The following is a 24,209-nucleotide window of genomic DNA, read 5'->3' on the forward strand; positions in this document are numbered from 1 at the left end:
TACTCTGAAACATCCTGCTACGAGAATGAAAAACCAAGCCACAGACTGAGAGAAAATATTTATAAAACAAACCTGAAAGGGATTTATATGCAAAATATACAAAGAAATTCTAATGCTCAGCAAGAAGACAACACAATTAAAAGGTAGACACCTCACTAAAAAAGATAAGACAACAAACAAGCATCCAAAAGAATGCTCATGGCACTTGTCATAGGGAAAAGCAAATTAATGCAACAATGGTATACCACTGAGCATCTACTAATGTGACTAAAACCTTTTTTTAATGTAATAAAAATTACAACAGGAGGCTGGGAACAGTGGCTCATGCCTGTAATCCCATCACTTTGGGAAGCAAAGTCGGGAGGATCACTTGAAACCAGTTCAAGACCAGCCTGGGCAACATGTGAGACCCCCATCTTTACCAAAAATTTAAAAATAAAATAAAATTAACCAGCCCTGGTGGCACACACCTGTAATCCCAGCTGAGATGGGAGAATTGCTTGAGCCTGGAAGGTAGAGGCAGCAGTGAGCAGTGTTCGCACCACTGCACTCAGCCTGGGCTACAGAGCAAGACTCTCTCTCAAAAAAACAATTAAATAAATAAAATTAAAATAAGTTGCAACAGGAACTCTCGTTCAATGCTAGTGGAATGCATAATGATACAGCAACTTCAGAAAACAATATGGCAGTTTTTATTAAAGTTAAACATACTCTCACCATAGAGGCACTCCTAGGTTTTGGGGGTTTTTTTGTTTGGTTTTGTTTTTTGTTTTGTTTTGTTTTGTTTTGAGATGGAGTCTCACTCTGTCACCCAGGCTGGAGTACAGTGGTGCAATCTTGGCTCACTGCAGCCTCCATCTCCCGGGTTCAACCAACTCTCCTGCCTCAGCCTCCCAAGTAGCTGGGACTACAGGCAAGTGCCTCCACACCCAGCTAATTTTTTAATTTTTTGTAGTCGGGATCTCCCTATGTTGCCCAGGCTAGTCTTGAACTCCTGGGCTCAAGTGACCCTCCCACCTCAGCCTCCCATGTAGCTTGGACTTAAGGCAGGGACCACAACACCCAGCTAATTAAAAAAACATAATTTGGTAGAGATGGGCCTCAATATGTTGCCCAGGCTAATCTGAAACTCCTGGCCTCAAAGAGTCCTCCCTCTTTGGCCTCCCAAAGTGTTGGGATTACAGGTATAAGCCACTGCATCCCACCTTTGATTTTTTAATCAAGTTATTTTTTGTTGTTGAGCTTTAAGACTTTTTTTTATAAGTTTCTGGATATTAACTCCTTATCAGTTATATGATTTGCAAATGTTTTCTCCCGTTCTATATAGGTTGCTTTGTCACTGTTGATTGTTTCCTTTGCTACACAGACGTTTTTAGGTTTGACGTACTCCCATCTATCTAATTTTGCTTTGGTTGCTTATGCTTTTGGTGTCATATCCAGGAAGTAATTGCTCATTCCAATGTTATAAAGATTTTATTTTTTTTCTTCTTGGAGTTCTGTACTTTTAGGTGTTAGATTTCAGTCTTTAATTTATTTTGAGTTAATGATAACAGATAATGCATCATACGGTAGCATTCCATATAATGGAATGATATGGTTTGGATTTGTGTCCCTGTCCAAATCTTATGTTGAAATGTAATCGCCAGTGTTGGAGGTGGGGCCTGGTGGGAGGCCTGTGAAGTTTGTCACAGGACAAACTTCTTATGAATGGTTTAGCACCATCCCTCTTTGGAACTGTATAGTGAGATCTGGTTGTTTAAAAGTGTATAGCACCTCCCCGCCTTTCTCTCTTCCTCCTGCTCTGGCCACGTGAAGTGCTGACTCCCCTTTCACCTTCTGCCATGAGTGTAAGTCTCCCAAGAAGCCAAGCAGGTGCCAGCATCATGCTTCCTGTACAGCCTGCCGAACAATAAGCCAATTAAATCTATTTTCATTAGAAATTACAGTCTTAGGTATTTCTTTATAGCAGTGCGAGAACGGACTAATAGAGATGCCAATCCCCCAGGCTCCGTATCTCCTTGCAGGAGACTCTGGCATTAGCTGACCTCTGACCCAGGAGACAGCAGGGGCAGCTTCCCTGTGGGACTTGGGTGCCTCTGTTCTGAAAGTCCTCCTGCCCACTGGCCCCTCCCAGGGCCCATGCCTAGCCACTCTGCAAGAGCAGGTGCACACACAGTGCAGCCTCTGCAGCCCAGCCTGAGTGCATCGCTCCACCTGAGTACCTTACCCGTGACCCAGGAGTACATTGGATTCCCCAGCACAGCGAGAGCCCAACCTCAAGCCATACTTCTTGGTGTCCCCAGGGCTGTGGCACGTAGCTAGGGATACCGGGGGCGGGGGGGAGATCTGTGGCTAGCACTTGAACGGGGGAGGAGCCCCCACTCTCAGAGCACTGAGAGAGGTGAGACATTTGGGACACTGGGCAGCGAGGGAGCGAGGCATGCCTCCCTCCAGAGGGCCAGTCCAGAAAAGGGGCGACCTATGCAGCCTCTGCCCGAGGGAGCCCCGCAGCCCAGAACACCTAACAAAAGCAACGCAGGCAGCCACCAGTGATTACAGGAGGCTCCCCCAAGACCTAGGAGCTGGTAAAGGGCTATTGCTCTCCCGTCTCACCGCAAAGCACGCCTGCGAACGCAAAGTACAAAAGAGCCTTGCTACCGGAGATAGCAGCCGTGCCTCTTAAGCACCATCTATTGGATCACGGCCCTAACTACAACACCAAAATTGGCCAGCTAATACAACATCTGTGAAACCAAGCACAATTCACCCACACGTAAGGGTCCTGTACAGAACCCTGGCCCTCTGAAGCATCCAGAAACGAAGCCAGCTGACAATACCCAACTTACACCACAGTTAAAGGAACACCAACCCTCCCAGATGAGAATCAGTGCAAGAACTCTGGCAATTCAAAAAGACACAGTGTCCCCTTGGAAGACCCAGGCCTGCGGAGGGACGTGAGGAGCAGCCCCGACGCCCGACTCAGTCGCAAACACCGGAGTTGGGGAAAACCAAGTAATAAAACCCTCGAAACTGCGCCTGCGCGCCGGAGGGTTACACGCAATCCCCTCTGGGAGGGGAGGGACCTTCCTCAGGGGCGGGAAGAGCCAGGCCCCTCCCCCACCTCCTGAGCCCCAAACCGGGTTGTGCCCGTGACTGACAGGCAAGGCTCCGCCCTACTCCCCGCCCATTTAGCGCCTCCTGACTGCTGAATGGCGGGCTCGCCTTGGTCTCCGTGCTGATTGGCTGGCAGCTGTACAGCCTGGCACTTCGCCCTCCACCACATCTCACCTCCTGAGGGACTCTGAGAGAACGCCCGGCCAGGGTGAACGCCGCGGCAGGAGAGCACGGGAGATTGTGAAGAGCATGGGGAGCCTTTGTCGTGCAGCGTGAAACCCTTGTAAACCCTCATCCCGAGACCTTCAAATTTTAGCTTGGGAGACCCCAGATCCCCTCACCCTGGGAAGCTCCAAATCCTCTCAGCCTCAAGAGACCCCAAATCCTGCCACCTTGAGGGATTTAAAATCCCCTCAGCATGAAACCCCCAAAGTACCTCAGCTTCAGAGACTCCAAATCCCTTCACCCAGAGGAACAGCGAATCTCCTAATGCTTAGAGCACCAAATATTCTGAGCCTGAGAAGCCGCAATTCCCCTCACCCTAAGGCAACCCAAATCCCTCAGCCTGAGGAACCCTAAATATCTCACCCACAGACAGACCAAATTTCCCCAACCTCAGATAACCTAAATAGCCTGAAAACTCAATCCCTTCAGCTTCAAGGACCAAATAACCTCAGTGTCAAAGACCCTAAAACCCCTTAATGAGAGATCCAAATCTCCTTTACCTGAGACCCAGAATTTCCTCAGCCTCAAAGATCTCAAATCCTTTCATCCTGAGGAACCCCAAATCCCCTTAACCTGATGAATCTCAAATCCTGTCAGCTTGAGCACTCCAAATCTCTTCAGCTTAAAAGACCCCAAATCTCATCCTGAAAAAACCACAGATACTATCAGCCTGAGGGATACCAAAGCTCCTCAGCTCGAGATACCCCAAATTTCCTCAACCTGAAAAACCCCAATTTCTTCAGTCTAAGACATCTCAAATCCCCTCAGCCTGAGGGACCCCAAATCTCAACCTGAGAAATAGCTTCCCCTTAGAGATGCAGACTGCTTTACTCCTGGATTTTTCTAGAATCCTCAGGTAGAGGTCCCCAAATCCTGTCTATGCGAAATGTTCATTTTGTCTCGCTGAAACAGAACTCTGCCCCTCAGTCTGACCCAAGTCTCAGCAGTCGGGGGGCCTCAAGGTCTCCTTGGGACTCCTCTGGCTCTCACACCTCAGGACTCCCCTCAAACACCGGTAGCTACAACCCTCCAGGCACCTGTGCCACCCTTCTCCAAATGAGCCTAGCTGCAGGGGAACTAAAAGAACAAAATCCAGCTTACATTAGGTGGTAGCTCATGGCCAGTGGAGGCCTTCCCATCCCATCAGTACCCTCAAATCTCCCTGGGGTGCTCGAGACCTCACCAGGAATCCACATCTTCCTGCTCTGAACACCCAGCCAGATGGAGAAGACAGAGCCTGGTTCTGGGTAGTGCTCAGGGCTGTTGCCCCCTCTCAGCACCTTCTCCTTCCACAGGAGCCTTTGGCCTAGGAGCTGGGAGACTCAGGGCCCTTCTCACACTCAGAATTGGAGCAGGGCCTTCTAGACAGTCCCAGCACCATGAGCCCTGAAAAGTCCCAAGAGGAGAGCCCAGAAGAAGACACAGAGAGAACAGAGCGGAAGCCCATGGTGAGAAGTGGAGGAAGCGAAGCTGGACTCCTAGCAGGAGCTGATCTCTGGAGTGCTGCAGACTCCTGGCCTGTACCCTTGGGGGACCCTATCTGAATGTGCATGGAATGGGGGCAGCTGGTCCTGGCCAGGACATGGGGGAGAAAAGAACACTAGCATCAGCGACTGCTCTGTGTCAGCAGAGAGCTAGGAAAATGCTCAGGGTCTGCTCAGTTAAATGGGACACAGTCTGGAGAAGGAGGGAAGATCTTTATGTTTCACAGAGACTCCCAGAGGCCCCAGGCTATGTCCTACACACAGGGTAGAGGAAAAGGACCAGCTTGATGTGTACTAGTAAATCACTGATGGAATCTGTTACTTCCTCTAGGTCAAAGATGCCTTCAAAGACATTTCCATATACTTCACCAAGGAAGAATGGGCAGAGATGGGAGACTGGGAGAAAACTCGCTATAGGAATGTGAAAAGGAACTATAATGCACTGATTACTATAGGTAACAGGAAGTGCTGGGCACAGACCAGCCTGGGAGACATAAAACAGGTCTTTGGTCCCTATATTATTTTAGTTCTCAGGTGGTGGCATCTGCCCACAATTCCCTTTTTCATGTAGACAAATCTGGAGGGAAATTTTGTTCTTTTGCGTCAGTGCAGGGCTGAGTGTGGATATTGACCATGCAGAGGTCACATCTTGACCTTGTTCAAGACTCTCCCAGCTCATCAGACTGAGCAGCACTGGCTTTGTGGTGCTTTCCATTGCCACTGCCCTTTGTTCCTTCTCCCAGCTCTTCCATTTTAGAACAAAATTTTTGCTTCTTTTCAGGTCTCAGAGCCACTCGACCAGCTTTCATGTGTCACCGAAGGCAGGCCATCAAACTCCAGGTGGATGACACAGAAGATTCTGATGAAGAATGGACCCCTAGGCAGCAAGGTAAGAGGGAAGGGAAGTAGGATTTTTTTTTTTTTTTTTTTTTTGAGATGGAGTTTTGCTCTTTTCACCCAGGCTGGGGTGCAATGGCATGATCTTGGCTCACTGCAATCTCCACCTCCCAGGTTCAAGCGATTCTCCTGCCTCAGCCTCCCAAGTAACTGGGATTACAAGCATCCACCACTACGCCCAGCTAATTTTTTGTAAATTTTTTTTAGTAGAGATGGGGTTTCTCCGTGTTGGTCAAGCTGGTCTCGAACTCCCGACCTCAGGTGATCTACCCATCTTGGCCTTCCAAGGTGCTGGGATTACAGCCATGAGCCACCACGCCTGGCCTATTTTTATTTTTTATTTTTTTGAGACAGGGTCTCCCTCTGTCATCCAGGCTGGATGGTGCAATCTTGGCTCACTGCAGCCTCTGCCTTCCGGGTTAAACAATTCTCCCACCTCAGCTTCTCGAGTAGCTGGGACTACAGATGTGCACCACCATGCCAAGCTAATTTTTGTATTTTTTGTAGAGATGGGGTTTCACCATGTTGGCCAGGCTGGTCTCAAATTCCTGGCCTCAAGTGATCCGCCTGCCTTGGCCTCCCAAAGTGCTGGGATGATGATGATGATGATGATGATGATGATGATGATGATGATGGTGATTGTTACTATTATTACAGACAAGGTCTCACTCTGTCACCCAGGCTGGAGTGCAGTGGTGCAATCATAACTCACTGCAGCCTCAAACTCCTGGGCTTAAGCGATCCTCCCACCTCAGCTTCCCAAAGTGCTAGGATTACAGGCATGAGGCACCGTGCATAGCCCCCAGGAAGATTTAGAAGTGACCTCCTGGCCAGGCACAGTGGCTCACACCTGTAATCCCAGCACTTTGGGAGGCCAAGGTGGTCGTATCACTTGAGGTCTGGAGTTTGAGACAAGCCTGGCCAACATGGTGAAACTCCGTCTCCACTAAAAATTAAAAAAAAAAAAAAAATTAGCCGGGTGTGGTGGTGGGTGCCTATAACCCCAGCTACTCAGGAGGCTGAGGCTGGGGAATAGCTTGAACCCATGAGGCAGAGGTGGCAGTGTGCCTAAATTGTGCCACCACCCTCCAGCCTGGGCAACAGAATGAGAAGACTCCGTCTCAGGGCGGGAAAAATAGTGACCTCCTGAAACCAGCCTGGGTTTAGGTCTCAGCTACATTTCAGAATTTAACAAAGGAAAAAGAATCTTCCCTCAAAAGCATAAATGTTCAACAAACAAGCAAAATGCAAGACAGTATATACAGTAAGAGGTTATTCATATAACGTTTGTTTGTTTGTTTGTTGTTTTTGTTTTTGTTTTTGTTTTTGAGATAGAGTCTCATTCTGTTGCCCAGGCTGGAGTGCAGTGGCACAATATCAGCTCACTGCAACCTCCACCTCCCAAGTTCAAGCGATTTTCCTGTCTCAGTCTCCTGAATAGCTGGGACTACAGGCATGTGCCACCACGCCAAGCTAATTTTTGTATTTTTGGTGGAGATGGGGTTTTGCCATATTAGCCAGGCTGGTCTTGAACTCCTTACCCACCTCAGTCCACCCGCCTTGGTCTCCCAAAGTGCTGGAATTACAGACATGAGCCACCACACCTGGCCTCATATAAAGTTTTAAAACTTGTAAAATATATATAGTATTTATAGATACAATAATAAGTGGTAAATGTATAAAATCTAAATGTGAATAAGAGTGCCAAATTCAGAACATTTATCATCACAACAAAAGAAGGAAGGGCTGGCAGGTGGCTTCACTGTGGCTTGGTTAGTTTTTTTGTATGTTTTTATTTTTGTTTTTAAATTTTGAAATACACATAAAAAGATCTGAAACAATTGTGACAGAATGTTGACATTGGACTGAATGGTGATGGATGTATAGGTTTTCCAGTACCATTCTCCATTGTTTTCTATATGTTTAAAATTTGTCATTCTTTTTTTTTTTTTAAATTGTGTTTGCTAAACATTGTTAATACATCATAGAACAATGAAAGCAAACTTAATTAAACTGTAAATCCACGAAAAAGCTTTCTAATACCAATCTCATAATATTGATTTAAATTTCTTAGAAGAAGAAATAATATTAAGTAAAGATATATCATTTATGTACATTTAATCATACTATATGATCCTCTTATACCAAAATGAATCTACTTCTTTGTCTCGATTCTGGAGCGGGTTTGAGAGAGCTGTTTAGTTTCCCTGATCTTTCCCATATGTCACTGACCAGAGACAGCATCAGGTAAATAAAATAATGTATCATAATTATAAAATAGAAGTGTGAAGCTCATTTCCTCTTCTACTGCTTGGTTAGGAGAGTTTAGAAGTAAAAAGAGTCAATCTACCCAAACTAGAGAAAGCAACTTGGATTGGGTCTACGATTTCCCCATCTATGGATTTTAGATTCCTTAGGACCTAAAAATACTGTAAGAGGTATGAAAGGCCAGTGTTTGCTTTTCTGCCAATGTTTTGACATGAAAAGAATGGCTCTTTAGCGGGAATCTATCTCCCATGGTTTACCACACATCTATACATCTTTATCTGAACTCAGTTAAAATCCCTAATTTAAGTTAATTTATTTTTTACTGTGGTAAGAAATCATATAACATATATTTACTCTTCTAACAATTTTTAAGTGTACAACTTTATTAATTATATGCACATAGTGGTGAAATAGATCCCTAGAACTTTTTATCTTGCATGACTAAAACCCTATACCCATTGAACAATAACACCCCATTTCCTCCTCCCTGCAGCTCCTGGCAACTGCAATTCTGTTTCTATAAATTTGATTACTTTAGATACCTCATATACATGGAATCAGCCATGAAATATTTGTCTTTTTGTCACTGGCTTATTTAATCACTTAGCATAATGTCCCCAAGATTCACCCATGTCATAGCATGTGACAAGATTTTCTTCTTTTTTAAGGCTGAATAATATTCCACTCCATGTATATACCACATTTTAAAAATCCATTCATTTGTCAATGGATATTAGGTTGCTTCACCTCTTGTCTATTGTGAGTAATGCTGTAATAACTATCAGTGTGCAAATATCTCTTTGAGATCCTGTTTTTAATTCTTTTTAATATATTGTATACCCAGAAGTGGAATTTCTGGATCATAAGGTAGTTCTGGTTTTAATTTTTTGTGGAAGTGCTATACTGTATTTTACAGTGTCTGCACCATTTTACATTCCCACTACTATGGTTTGAATGTGTGGAAGTTCATGTATTGGAAACTTAATTGCCATTGTAACAGTATTAAGAGGTGGAGCCTTTAAGAGGTGAATTAGGTAATGATAGCTCCAACCTCATGAATGGATTAACGCCACTATCACAGGAGTGGGTTAGTTATTGCAGGAGTGGGTTCCTGATGAAAAGGATGAGTTGGGCCCTTCCCTGTCTTTCTCTCTGTCTCACATGCACACTTACGCTTCCACCATGTCATGATGCGGTTTGAAGCCCCTTGCAAGATGCCAGGGCCATGCTCTTCAACTTCCCAGCCTCCAGAACCACAAGCCAAATAATTCTTCTCCTTATAAATTACCCACTCTGGGCCAGGCATGGTGGCTCATGCCTGTAATCCTAGCACTTTGGTAGGCCGAGGCAGGTGGATCATGAGGTCAGGAGTTTGAGACCAGCCTGGCCAGCTTGGTGAAACCCCATCTCTACTAAAAATACAAAATTAGCCGGGCATAGTGGCGTGCACCTATAATCCCAGCTACTCGGTAGGCTGAAGTAGAAGAATCACTTGAACCCGGGAGGCAGAGGTTTCAGTGAGCCGAGATCACACCACTGTACTGCAGCCTGGGCAACAGAACGAGACGCCGTGTCAAAACAAAAACAAAAACAAAAAAACCCACACACACACATAAATTACCCACTCTGTTACATTCTAGGAAAGCAGCAGAAAACAGACTAAGCCACCTACCAACAATAAGCAAGTGTTCTAAATTTCTCCGCATCTTCGCCAACACTTGCTATTTTCTGTTTTTTTGACAGAGGCTATCATAACAGGATAAGTGACATCTCGCTGTGGTTTTAATTTTCATTTCCCTGATGATTAGTGATGTTAAGCATATTTTTATATGCTTCTTAGCCATTTATGTATCTTCTTTTGAGAAATGTCTATTCAAGTTTTTTGCCCATTGTATTAGTCAGCCCAGGCTGCCACAAGAAAATACCACACACTGGGTGGCTTAAACAACAGAAATTTATTTTCTGACATTTCTGAAGCCTGGAAGTAAAAAATCAGAGTGCCAGCATGGTTGGGTTCTGGTGAGGGGTCTCTTCCTGACTTGTGGGCAACCTCCATCTCACTGTGTATTTACGTGAATTATTTGTGTTCCCACATCAGGAAGGAGAAGGAATTTCTTCCTCTTCTTATTAAAGCAATAATATCTACTAGAAGATTTTTTTTTTTTAGACAGCCTCACTCTGTTGCCCCAGGCTGGAGTTCAGTGGTGCGATCTCAGCTCACTGCAAACTCCACCTCCTGGGTTCAAGCAATTCTCCTGCCTCAGCCCCCCACGTAGCTGGGACTACAGGGGCACACCAGCTAATTTTTGTATTTTCAGTAGAGATGGGGTTTTACCATGTTGACCAGGCTGGTCTCAAACTCCTGGCCTCAAATTATCTGCCCACCTCCTCGGCCTCCCAAAGTGCTGGGATTATAGGCATGAGCCACTGCGCCAGGCCAAAAGCACTAATGCCATCCTAAGGGTCCCACCCTCATGACATCACCTATCCCTAATTACCTACCAGTGGCTCCATCTTTAAATACCATCATATTGAGGTATTAAATATGCTTCAGCATATGAATTTGGGGGAAACAAAATTCAGTCCATACCACTCATTATTTAATTATTTGTTTTGTTGTTGTTGTATTATAGGAGTTCTTCATATATTCTGAATATTAACTCTTTTTTTTTTTTTTGAGACAGAGTTTCGCTCCTGTTGCCCAGGCTGGAGTGCAATGGAGCGATCTCAGCTCACTGCAACCTACACCTCCCGGGTTCCACCGATTATTCTGCCTCAGCCTCCCGAGTAGCTGGGATTACAGGCACATACCACCACGCCCAGCTAATTTTTTGTATTTTTAGTAGAGACAGGGTTTCACCATGTTGGCCAGGCTGGTCATGAACTCCTGACCTCAAGTGATCCATCTGCCTCGGCCACCCAAAGTGCTGGGATTACAGGCATGAGCCACAGCGCCTGGCCTGGATTTAACTCTTTATCTTCTTTTTTTGAGTCAGAGGTCTCACTATGTTGCTCTGGCTGGTCTCGAACTCCTAGGTTCAAGTTATCCTCCCACCTGAGCCTCTGAATAGCTGAACTATAGTCATGTGCCACTGCACTCAGCAACATTAACCCTTTATCAAATATATGGTTTGCATATATTTTCTTCCACTCTGTAGGATGCCTTGCCACTCTGTTGAATGTTTTCTTTGCTACACAGAAGTTTTTAAGTTTGATGTAGTCTTATTTGTCTATTTTTGCTTTTATTGCTTATGCTTTTGGTGTCATATACAAGAAGTTATTGTTCATTTCAATGTCATAAGCTTTTCCTCTGTGTTTTCTTCTTGAGGTTCTGTACTTATAGGTTTTACATTTCAGTCTTTAATCTATTTTGAGTTAATTTTTATATGAGATATGTGGTAAGAGTCTGTCTTCTCTTTTGCATATGTATATCCAATTTTCCCAACACCATTTCTTGCAGACTGTCCTTTCCTCCATTGTGTAGTCTTGGCATCCTTGCTGAAGATCATTTGACCGCATACACAAGGGTTTATTTCTGGCCTCTCTATTCTGTTCCATTGGTCTATATGTCTGTCTTTATACCAGTACCACACTTTTCTGATCGCTGTAGCTTTGTAATATGCTTTGAAATCAGGAACTATGAGGCCTTTAACTTTATTCTTCTTTTTCAAGATTGGTTCAGCTATTCTGAGTCCTTAGAGATTCTATATGAATTTTTGGATATTTTTCCTTTTCTGAAAATAATGGCATTGGCATTTTGATAGAGATGGCATTGAATCTATAGATCATTTTGATAGTATGAACATGTTAACAATATTAAGTCTTCAAATCCATGAACACAGGATGTCCTTCCATTTATTTGTGTCTCCTTAAATTTCTGTCGGCACCGTTTTGTAGTTTTTAGTGTTCAAGTTTTTTGCCTCCTTGGTTAAGTTTATTTGTAATTATTCTATTCTTTTTGATGCTATTGTGGTTGGGATATTTTTCTTAATTTCCTTTGTGGATTGCTCATTGTTACTAAATAGAAACACAACTGATTTGGGGTGTTGATTTTGTATGGTGAATTCATGTATTATTATTATTTTTTTAGATGGAGTCTGGCTCTGTTGCCCAGGCTGGAGTGCAGTGGCGTGATATCGGCTCACTGCAAGCTCCACTTCCCTGGTTCACGCCATTCTCCTGCCTCAGCCTCTCGAGTAGCTGGGACTACAGGCGCCCGCCACCATGCCTGGATAATTGTTTGTATTTTTAGTAGAGACAGGGTTTCACCGTGTTAGCCAGGATGGTCTCGATCTCCTGACCTCGTGATCTGCGCACCTCAACCTCCCAAAGTGCTGAGATTACAGGCGTGAGCCACCATGCTCGGCCCGAATTCATGTATTACTTCTAACAATTTTTTGGTAAAAATCTTTATAGTTTTCTTTTTTTTTTTTTAAGATGGGGTCTCGCTCTGTCGCCCAGGCTGGAGTGCAGTGGCACGATCTCGGTTCACTGCAACCTCTGCCTCCCAGATTGAAGCGATTCTCCTGCCTCAGCCTCCTGATTAGCTGGGACTACAGGCGCCCGCCACCACACCTGTAATCCTAGCACTTTGGGAGGCCAAGATGGGCAGATCACGAGGTCAGGAGATCAAGACCATCCTGGCTAACATGGTGAAACCCTGTCTCTACTAAAAATAAAAAATTTAAAAATTTAAAAAATTAGCTGGGCGTGGTGGTGGGCGCCTGTAGTCCCAGCTACTCAGGAGGCTGAGGCAGGAGAATGGCATGAACCCACGAGGCGGAGCTTGCAGTGAGCCAAGATTGTACCACTGCACTCCAGCCTGGGCGACAGAGCGAGACTCCATCTCAAAAAAAAAAAAAAAAAAAGGTTGGGGGGGCTTTTCTTTTATGATCTTTTTATGTTAAAGTGATTTCCTTCTATTCCTAGTTTGTTCAGTGTGTTTGTCGTGAAAGGTCAATTTACATTTTAAAAATTAATGTACTAGATACCTTATTAGGTATACTTTAATAGACAGGATGAAACAAAGATGAAGTTTTATCTATTTTTTTAAGTCTTAAGAAAATTAGCAATGCCTTTAATAGAAACATAGGCCTTAATGATACTTCAGAAAACATTTCCAAATCGCCTTTGGATAATACTTGGAATCATCACTCTCTGATTCAGAATTCTCTGTCTCTAATGAGAAACTCCAGAGTTAGGCCCGGCATGGTGGCTCACGCCTGTAATCTCAGCACTTTGGGAGGCAGACGCAGGTGGATCACCTGAGGTCAGGAGTTTGAGACCAGCATCGCCAACATGGAGAAACCCTATCTCTACTAAAAATACAAAAATTAGCCGGGTGTGGTGGCGTACACCTGTAGTTCCCAACAACTCACAAGGCTGAGGCAGGAGAATCGCTTGAATCCGGGAGAGGGAGGTTGCAGTGAGTGGAGATTGAGCCACTGCACTCCAGCCTGGGCGACAGAGGGAGACTCCGTCTCAAAAATAAAAAATAAAAATAAAAAATAGAAGAGAGAATCTCTAGTGTTTGGAAACATTTACCAACCAAACCACTGATTTCTCATCACCTTTTAGTCAAACCTCCTTGGATGGCCTTAAGAGTGGAACAGCGTAAACACCAGAAGGTAAGTATTTCCCAAATCCTATTGACAAGAAACCTTCCTCATGGATCCAAACACAGGTAAGAGGAGGAGAATGTACAGACTATCATAGGAACTAATGCCTTCTTTTCCTGATCTCTTTAGCACAGTGTCTGACATCATCATTATTTTAAGAGTTAATAAGAACAGCAACAATAATTGCTACCATGGTGTTATTTTCTCAGTATTTTCAGACTCTATTTTAAGCATTTTACATGAATAAACTTTACATATAGTTCCTATTCAACTTTATATATAGTACCTATTAAGTAGATGTTGTAACTATAGCCATTTTACAGATGAGAAAACTGAGGTATAAAAATGTTCAGTTATATCCCTGGGATCACATTCAGTGTTGGTGCAGTCTAATCCAAAACTCCTTCTCTAAAGCACTTACAAGATCATTAACACAAGATCATTAAAAGTTTCATAGTTTTATAAAGTTTATGCTGTCTTACCCATATGTGTTACATCATTCGTCCAACTGACTTTTTAACCTCAGTTTTTCTCTGTTATGGTAAAGTGAGATTTGCACTGAAACACTCTGATTAAGGGAAGCTTCCAAGTAAATAGACAGTTCATACTGTGTTTGGTCCCAGAAGGAGATAGGGTCCCTACCCTCATAAGGGACCCATTCTGATCAGAGGAAGCAGCTTCCAGCCCTGAGGAGTTTCAGCTTTGAAGACTGAGAAACAACAAATAAGAAAATGGTTTAAGACTTCATATAGGTTACATCCTATTAAGTAAAAATATATTCTTCTGGAACTGATTTCAAATTCTCATTCCTACAGAAGGCAGTAACAGCTCCTTCCTCTGGGCTCCAATTAGGGAACTGTCATGTTGTTTGGAATTATTTGTTTAGCCTGCCTGCTGCCTCTTCATTGTGAGCTCTTCAGGAGTCTGGTCCATATCTGATTCTTCTCAGAACTCCCAAGCCCAGATCAGGGCCTCTGAGAGCCTCCTTAGTGTTTTCTGAATGACTGATTCCAAGTTTATGAATTAAACTATAAGTAACAGGGTCAAGGAATGCTGAAAATATCTTTGAGTTAGATTTCAACTGTAGAGATGTTATCAGGACTATGAGATAATTTTCATTTGTTTGTTATTTTTCTGGGTGGTGGTGGGGTGATTTGAGACAGAGTCTGGCTCTTTCGCCCAGGCTGGAGTGCAATGACTCAATCTCGGCTTACTGCAGCCTCCATCTCCTAGATTAGTGCGATCCTCCTGCCTCAGCCTCCTGAGTAGCTGGGACCATAGGCATGCACCACCATGCCCAGCTGATTTTTACGTTTTTTGTAGAGACAGGGTTTTGCCATGTAGCTCAGGCTGGTCTTGAACTACTGGGCTCAAGCCATCCTCCCACCTTGGCCTCCCAAAGTGCTGGGATTACATATGTGAGCCATTGCACCCAGTCTGTGAGAAAAATTCTTTTCTTTTGTTGAGACAGAGTTTCACTCTTGTCACCCAGGCTGGAGTGCAGTGGAGTGATCTCGGCTCACTTTAACCTCCCCCTCCTGGGTTCAAGTTGTTCTCCTGCCTCAGCCTCCCAAGTAGCTGGGATTACAGGCACCCGCCACCACACCTGGCTAGTTTTTTGTATTTTTTGTAGATATGGGGTTGGCTAGACTGGTCTCAAAACTCCTGACCTGAGGTGATCCGCCTGCCTTGGCCTCCCAAAGTGCTGGGATTACAGGTGTGAGCCACTGCACCTGGTGAGAAAAATTATTAATCTCACATTCATACTGTATTAAGTAGTTCAAAAAACACTTTGGTGAACATTATTATCTTTCATGTTCACTACAATATTAAGAATTAGCGCCAGGGGCAGTGGCTTACACCTGTAATCCCAGCACTTTGAGAGGTGGAGGTGGGCAGATCACCCGAAGTCAGGAGTTCGAGACCAGCCTGGCCAACATGGTGAAACCCCATCTCTACTAAAACTACAAAAATCAGCTGGGCATGGTGGTGGACACCTGTAATCCCAACTACTCAGGAGCCTGAAGCAGGAGAATCGCTTGAACCCGGGAGGTGAAGGCTGCAGTGAGCTGAGATCGTGCCACTGCACTCCAGCTTAGGCAACAAAGTGAGACTCCCTCTCAAAAAAATAAAAAAAAAAAAGAATTAGCATGGTCTGATGGTCTGAGTGTGGGGGCTCATGCCTATAATCCCAGCACTTTGGGAGGTTGAGGTGGGTGGATCACTTGAGGTGAGGAGTTCGAGACCATCCTGGCCAACCTAGTGAAACCCCGTCTCTAATAAATATACAAAAATTAGCTGGGTATGGTGGCACATGCCTGTAATCCTAGCTTCTCGGGAGGCTGAGGTAGAAGAATCTCTTGAACTTGGGAGGTGGAGGCTGCAGTGAGCTGATATCGTGCCACTGCACTTCAGCCTAGGCAACAGAGCGAGACTCCTTCTCAAAAAAAAAAAAAAAAAAAAAAGCATGTATGCCAATTTCTGGATCAGGAAACTAAAGAGAATTAGCTAACAATACACCCTTATTCAAGCAGACAAGCAGAAGTGGTACAGGAACTAATTAATCTAATTCCAAAGCCAAATATTCTTTCCAGGATATGGCAACATGCAACTTTGACATCATTTTCTTGGTTGTCTAGATATATTTTTGCCAATCGTCTCTTTGTTCTGTTCCCAATCTTACTGCTCTATTACCTCATTTTCCAGAAGTGCTTTGTCCCTCTGTGCTTCTCTACATTTCCCCTTCTATCAAAAGTCTACTAGTTTATGGAAGATTCCCTCCTTCTCTTTGTAAGCCCTTACCCCCTTCTTTCACAGATCTTGTTGATTCTCCAGCTAGTCTTCCCAAGTATTCCTCCTCCTTCCCTTTGACTTACATAGAACATTTTAGAGAAAGTTGAAGGAAAGAGCCTTAAGACATGGGTTAGAGTCCCAGATTCACTACTCACTTAGACCTTCTCTTTTCCCTCTAGTATTTAGACACTCTAGGTATTTTCAAGGTTTGAACATTAACTAGAGTCATGCATATGAAAACATGTTGCAAGCCGTAAAGAACTAAAGAAATTCGTGTTGTCTTTTAATATGTGACTCTCACATTAAAGGGAATGCCCAAGGCGTCATTCAGTAATGAATCTAGTTTGAAAGAATTGTCAAGAACAGCAAATTTACTGAATGCAAGTGGCTCAGAGCAGGCTCAGAAACCAGTGTCCCCTTCTGGAGAAGCAAGTACCTCTGGACAGCACTCAAGACTAAAACTGGGTAAGAAAAAATATTTGCGGGGACTTTAGTCCCTCTATGTCCTCTAGAAAGGTTGATGAGTATGGTCTACCTATGTGGGGTGGACTTTGCATAGGCCTGGGCTTAAGCTGGACTCAACTGTGAGACCAGAAGGTAGATGCAGTATTTTGTTAAAATTATTTATTTATTTGTTCACTGAGACAGAGTCTCACTCTGTTGCCCAGGCTGGAGTGCAGTGGCGCAATCTCGGTTCACTGCAACCTCTGCCTCCATGAAAATAGATGTTTTCTTGCCTCAGTCACCCGAGTAGCTGGGATTATAGGCGTGCGCCACTGTGCCCGGCTGATTTTTGTATTTTTAGTAGAGACAGGGTTTCACCTTGTTGACCAGGCTGGTCTCAAACTCCTGGCCTCAAGAGATCTGCTCACTTCAGCCTCCCAAAATGCTGGGATTACAGGCTTGAGCCACCATGTCCAGCCTTGGATACAGTATTGAATAGCATGTAAGAACATTAACTTTGAAGTCATTCACTTGGGTTATAATCTACATAGAAGCACTGGGGCCTTGGGCAAATCTTATAAATTCTCTGAGCTCCTGAATGGTAATCTGTAAAATGAGACCAAGTATATATAGACCAAGTACATTGTTTGAAAGCATTAAATTAAATATAAATGAACCCATACATGCAAGGTGTCCAATAAGTACCTCTCTGATAATAGATATTCTTTTGTGCATTTCTACATTTCCTCTTCCATCACATGTCTACTAGTTTGTAGAAGATCCCCTATAGAGATCATACTTTATCTTAGTGTTGTATGTCCAGGCCTTTGTTCAATGCCTAAGATGTAATGTGACCTCAAGAAATATCTTCCAAATGAATAAATGCATGAATGAACCATTTTGTAAGTAGAAATGTTGGGAGGTTAATGGTATAATGAGAACAGCCAGAAACTAATATTAAATAGGCATCTGCAGTCAGTGTGGGTGTGGGGTCTAAGTCTCTCTGAAGCAGTAGTTAAAGAGGGGGACACTAGAGTATGTAGAAAGGTAGATGCCAATTTGATGGTAGATTTCACATTTTCTTATGAAACAAGGACAAACACCCCAGATTCCCAATTTTACCCGTCTACTCTTCTCCAACCTAGAACTCAGGAAGAAGGAGACTGAAAGAAAGATGTATAGCCTGCGAGAAAGAAAGGGTCATGCATACAAAGAGGTCAGCGAGCCGCAGGATGATGATTACCTCTGTAAGTGACACTTTTGGCCACTCACACAGCTTGCTGTTATGTCCTGGTGCAATAATTTCATCATTTGGCCCACAAATCATTCCCTTACTCTAATGAATTAGAGTACAGGATTAGGGCTAAATAATGTGAATGCCAAGCTCTTTCTGAAGCTCTTATATCAAGGAACATGCATTACAACTTTCCTAATCTCTGCTTCCCTCACTTCCAGATTGTGAGATGTGTCAGAACTTCTTCATTGACAGCTGTGCTGCCCATGGGCCCCCTACATTTGTAAAGGACAGTGCAGTGGACAAGGGGCACCCCAACCGTTCAGCCCTCAGTCTGCCCCCAGGGCTGAGAATTGGGCCATCAGGCATCCCTCAGGCTGGGCTTGGAGTATGGAATGAGGCATCTGATCTGCCGCTGGGTCTGCACTTTGGCCCTTATGAGGGCCGAATTACAGAAGACGAAGAGGCAGCCAACAATGGATACTCCTGGCTGGTAAGAAGAGCCTGCCATTTCCCCTGTTCTGTCTTCCCACATCCCTTCTGTGCCTTTGGTGGGGCATAATCTTCTACATGTTAGTATATAGGTAAGGATAACATGGTTAGCTCTGTGTACTCAAGGTTCTTTGCATGAACACGGAACTCCTATTTAGAGATCAGAGGTTACATGGGAGCAGAGTGGTACAAAGACAAAGAAGTGCATCCTCCCTGTGGAGCTTCTGCTCTGATTGGACAAACCAACTCAGATGTGTAGATAGATGATGACTAAGGTGCATACCATGTGGTCTCAATTGGCAGCTGAAGCTATGCAGGCCCAAAGGCCATTGACGACAGTGGAGTAAAATAATTCTTCTGATTTTTACCCTCTAAAAAGCCTTTGCCTTGTTTTTCTGAAACTCAGATCACCAAGGGGAGAAACTGCTATGAGTATGTGGATGGAAAAGATAAATCCTGGGCCAACTGGATGAGGTAAGGCCAGTAGCTCTCTGAGTTGCAGAGAGAACCTTCATCTCTCACAAAGCTGGATTTCCTTCCTTATCATTATGCCTCCCTCAATGATTTTCACATTCCCTATTTCTATTTTTCTCCATACAATGCTGTTTTATACCATCAACATTTAGAAATAATAAATAAAAATATAGATATTATGATTTATTGGTATCAAAACATAAATATGTATGCTAGACAAAATTGAGGCACCAAGATAAACCTTGAGAAGCCTAGATTCACGGGGGACTCTGAATTCATGCTTTAATTTATGTAATCCACGTTTATTAAGCACTTTGTATGTTCCAGGTTAGGAAGTGAGGTTCACTACTTGAACAGAAGTGAGCTGCAGGATGACTCAGCCCCTTTCCACAATGGGCTCTCGTTCTATCAGAGAATAGAAAAATGAATCAACTATTACTGTTCTATGTTATTGGGCCAAGAGAAAGAGACTTCTAAGTTTCTCTGGGAATCTGGGGAAGTCAGGTGAATGGCACCTGAATGAACTGTAGGGTGATTAGAGGAAGGTCTGTCAAAGAAAGATGGACTTGGGCTGAGTGTAGAATGATGTGCACTAATCTAGAAGCAGAGTACATGATCAAGCACCAAGTTCTGTGGTATAAAACAGAATTAATTTAGAGTTTAGAGAAGCTAGAAGTCAATGTGTTTTATGGCCAGTCAAGGTGGAGGTAAGTCTGGAGTTGGGCTTTGAAAAAATGGTTGATTAGGCATGGCAGGGAAACATTCTAGGCAGGATGAACACTGTAGTCAGAAGTGCAAGTTCATATGACATTGTGAAAGAGATTTAGGAATGAGCAGAAGGTTCCCGGAGGAGTGGTGGGGGAGTGGTCAGCACTAGACCATGGAGGCCTAGACCAGCAGGTGATGGGCCATACCTGGATCTGATACTGGGAACTCACTGCCTCTTTTCTTTCCCTTTGCCTGCCTTGACCCCAGGTATGTGAACTGTGCCCGGGATGATGAAGAGCAGAACCTGGTGGCCTTCCAGTACCACAGGCAGATCTTCTATAGAACCTGCCGAGTCATTAGGCCAGGCTGTGAACTGCTGGTCTGGTATGGGGATGAATACGGCCAGGAACTGGGCATCAAGTGGGGCAGCAAGTGGAAGAAAGAGCTCATGGCAGGGAGAGGTAGGCATCACTATTACTCTTTTAAAAGGACAGGAAAGAAAGAATTATCCTAGAGAATTTTCATGGTTTAACTCTTAAGTACAGTAAAATGCCATCTAAAGTCAGTAAGATTTCAAATCAGTGGCTTCCAAAATTAAACATTCATGTTATATACCTTTGCCTCTTTGGAACAATTTTCATATTTTTAAATCTTTGTTCTGATTTTATATTCTAAGTACTTCATGCACAAAGTATATAACAGCATATAGTGCTGAAAGACTTAAAGACAAAAATCAAGTTCTCAAACACCTACCAGCTCTCCCAACAAGGTAGTTTCTTCTGGCATTTCCTTGATATTTCCTAATGATATGCATGTGTTGTTATTCATTCATTAATTACCTCAATTAGCTGTCATGTGAATTCCTACTCAGTGCCAGACCATGTTGCAGGAAGTGTAAATATAGATTGATCAAGACAATCAGAAAAACTGCTCTTGACATGTGAATTAGGGAACCATATGATTACATACAGACATATGTGTAATATCAGACAGTGATTAGTGCTTTGAAGTAAATGAATCCAGAAAGAATACCTGGGGATCCGTGTGAGGTGAGAGTAGAGTGTTGCAGCGGATTGTCAGGGAAGATTTCTCTTAGGAGACAGCATTTGAGAAGTGCAAGTGCCTGTGGGCCAAGGGTTCCAGGCACAGGGCGCAGCTAGTGCAATGGTCCTACGGCCAGAAAGAATTCAGCTTTGGTTCATTTTTGGAAAACAGTCTCCAGTGGGTCATCCCCTCAGAGCTGCTCCAGTTTCCAGATGAGAGAGAATGGTGGGCAGGATGAAGGTGGGGAGCACGGAGGTAAGTCTGAGTAGGGATATATTTTGACACAAGACTTCCTATTGTATTTGAAATGGGCTCAGACTGAATGAAATATCTCAAAAATGAATACTTGATGGGCAGCCTGAGAGAGAACATATTCTCATTTTATGATTTGTGGAATCTGAAATGGAATCTATGCACCTAGTTGGGGTAGCAGGACCCAGAGTCCTTTAGTCAGTGGGACCTGGACCACTCTGTGTTGGCCAACCTGAATCCCACTTCCTGATGGAGAACCAGGCACATAACAGTCCTCAATTAAATATGTCCTTTTGAATGAGGAGACTCAAATTCAGATTTGCTCACACATCTTCTCTTTAACCACATTTGTGGATCTCCAGCCTGAGTGCTCTTAATAGATCCTTTTCCCCTCTTAGGAAATCACTAAGGACAATCTCACCTAAGTCATCAAGAGTGTTATTTCTCAATAGAATAAAATAGCTGAAGGTCTCATGTCAGCAAAAGTGCCCAGGGACCAGGGAGGGAGGATGTGGCAGAGGGTGATCAGGGAAGGCTTTATAGGACTTGGAAAATACCTGCAGTGTGGGGAAAAGGTCACTGCAGTTCCATCTATGTAAGGAATGACACTGCCCTGATGCTGGTTGAGGTTACCTAGTCTGGCAGATATGTAGAAAAGGACCAAGATGTGGGATTTCTGGATTTTTTAAGATGTAGTGAATAAAAGTGGAATGGAAAAATGGACTGTAAAGGTCCATCCAGCACTTGGTGGGAAAGAGCTTGCATTGTTAACATATGAAGAATGATTGTTTCTTCATTTGATCTTCATACCTTCATATGTGGTAAGGCCTGAACAAAACATCTACCCTGACCAAAAACTTCCTCTTTCAGAACCAAAGCCAGAGATCCATCCATGTCCCTCATGCTGTCTGGCCTTTTCAAGTCAGAAATTTCTCAGTCAACATGTAGAACGCAATCACTCCTCTCAGAACTTCCCAGGACCATCTGCAAGAAAACTCCTCCAACCAGAGAATCCCTGCCCAGGGGATCAGAATCAGGAGCAGCAATATCCAGATCCACACAGCCGTAATGACAAAACCAAAGGTCAAGAGATCAAAGAAAGGTCCAAACTCTTGAATAAAAGGACATGGCAGAGGGAGATTTCAAGGGCCTTTTCTAGCCCACCCAAAGGACAAATGGGGAGCTGTAGAGTGGGAAAAAGAATAATGGAAGAAGAGTCCAGAACAGGCCAGAAAGTGAATCCAGGGAACACAGGCAAATTATTTGTGGGGGTAGGAATCTCAAGAATTGCAAAAGTCAAGTATGGAGAGTGTGGACAAGGTTTCAGTGTTAAATCAGATGTTATTACACACCAAAGGACACATACAGGGGAGAAGCTCTACGTCTGCAGGGAGTGTGGGCGGGGCTTTAGCTGGAAGTCACACCTCCTCATTCACCAGAGGATACACACAGGGGAGAAGCCCTATGTCTGCAGGGAGTGTGGGCGGGGCTTTAGCTGGCAGTCAGTCCTCCTCACTCACCAGAGGACACACACAGGGGAGAAGCCCTATGTCTGCAGGGAGTGTGGGCGGGGCTTTAGCCGGCAGTCAGTCCTCCTCACTCACCAGAGGAGACACACAGGGGAGAAGCCCTATGTCTGCAGGGAGTGTGGGCGGGGCTTTAGCCGGCAGTCAGTCCTCCTCACTCACCAGAGGAGACACACAGGGGAGAAGCCCTATGTCTGCAGGGAGTGTGGGCGGGGCTTTAGCTGGCAGTCAGTCCTCCTCACTCACCAGAGGACACACACAGGGGAGAAGCCCTATGTCTGCAGGGAGTGTGGGCGGGGCTTTAGCTGGCAGTCAGTCCTCCTCACTCACCAGAGGACACACACAGGGGAGAAGCCCTATGTCTGCAGGGAGTGTGGGCGGGGCTTTAGCAATAAGTCACACCTCCTCAGACACCAGAGGACACACACAGGGGAGAAGCCCTATGTCTGCAGGGAGTGTGGGCGGGGCTTTCGCGATAAGTCACACCTCCTCAGACACCAGAGGACACACACAGGGGAGAAGCCCTATGTCTGCAGGGAGTGTGGGCGGGGCTTTAGAGATAAGTCAAACCTCCTCAGTCACCAGAGGACACACACAGGGGAGAAGCCCTATGTCTGCAGGGAGTGTGGGCGGGGCTTTAGCAATAAGTCACACCTCCTCAGACACCAGAGGACACACACAGGGGAGAAGCCCTATGTCTGCAGGGAGTGTGGGCGGGGCTTTCGCAATAAGTCACACCTCCTCAGACACCAGAGGACACACACAGGGGAGAAGCCCTACGTCTGCAGGGAGTGTGGGCGGGGCTTTAGCGATAGGTCAAGCCTCTGCTATCACCAGAGGACACACACAGGGGAGAAGCCCTACGTCTGCAGGGAGGATGAGTAAGTCATTAGTAATAAAACCTCATCTCAATAGCCACAAAAAGACAAATGTGGTCACCACACACTTGCACACCCCAGCTGTGAGGTGGCTTCAGCGGAAGTCTGCTGACCCCTTATATTCCCCGAGAGTATAAAGAGATCGGAAATAACTGATTAAACAAATCCGCCACTTTCATGACTAGAGATGAGGAAGAACAAGGGATAGTTCTGTAAGTGTTCGGGGGACATCAGCATGTGTGGTTCTTTCCCGCACTGATCCCCTCCATTTTTTGTTTGTTTTTTTGCCTCCTGTTCTAATAAATTTTGTCTCCATACAAATCTGAACCCCAAGTGTGTACCTCATTCTTCCCTTATCACTGAAGGCAAGAAGAGTCCAGAAGGGCCACAGAGAACTCATGTGTTCAGCTCAAGACTCCACAGGAATTCAACCCCCAGAAAGACATAAACTTGGAGTCCGTCTGGTTTAATTATTGGAGAATCGATTCCCAAGTCCAGGAAGAGAAATGTAAGATTCTAGAAAGTCGCAGCAGGAAAGGGAGTTCCCTGGTCTCCTGGGAAGTGTGGCTTCTTCTCCTAATGGACACCTCTCCTCTGCTGCCATACTCTCCCTTGGCTCCCCAGTCTCCTCTCCTGATCTCCTCCAATCTCTGTAGCCCAAGATGTGAAAGCCAGACAAGAACACGCGTGTGTGTATATATGTGTTCGGGTGTGGGGGTATGTGCCCTCCGTGTAGGTAACTGTGTGAGTGTGGGGGG

At 44.6% G+C, this 24,209-nt stretch overlaps 1 protein-coding gene across 2 annotated transcripts, besides 1 other annotated feature; it reads left to right on the forward strand.

Moving 5' to 3' along the window:
* Positions 2,349 to 2,848: an enhancer, noted in NCBI's record as "H3K4me1 hESC enhancer chr5:23506773-23507272 (GRCh37/hg19 assembly coordinates)". NCBI's record gives its function as "activates a minimal SCP1, AML or CMV promoter by ChIP-STARR-seq in naive H9 embryonic stem cells {active_cell/tissue: H9 hESC(naive)}" and the evidence as "EXISTENCE:reporter gene assay evidence [ECO:0000049][PMID:30033119]".
* On the forward strand, positions 2,840 to 23,778 carry PRDM9 (PR/SET domain 9). 2 transcript variants are annotated; one of them, NM_001376900.1, is made up of 11 exons: positions 2,840 to 3,012; positions 4,635 to 4,787; positions 5,155 to 5,278; positions 5,605 to 5,712; positions 13,566 to 13,615; positions 16,708 to 16,864; positions 17,989 to 18,090; positions 18,299 to 18,570; positions 18,976 to 19,043; positions 20,019 to 20,212; positions 21,918 to 23,778. In NM_001376900.1, exons 2-11 carry the CDS (start codon positions 4,719 to 4,721, stop codon positions 23,456 to 23,458), a joined length of 2,685 nt encoding a protein of 894 aa, NP_001363829.1. In that variant the 5' UTR covers positions 2,840 to 3,012; positions 4,635 to 4,718; the 3' UTR covers positions 23,459 to 23,778. The 2 variants fall into 2 exon arrangements, with proteins under 2 accessions (NP_001363829.1, NP_064612.2); NM_020227.4 differs by lacking the exon at positions 2,840 to 3,012 and adding an exon at positions 3,294 to 3,397.
* The last annotated feature ends 431 nt before the right edge of the window (positions 23,779 to 24,209 follow it).

Source organism: Homo sapiens, chromosome 5 (assembly GCF_000001405.40).
Source record: "Homo sapiens chromosome 5, GRCh38.p14 Primary Assembly".
NCBI lineage: Eukaryota > Metazoa > Chordata > Mammalia > Primates > Hominidae > Homo > Homo sapiens.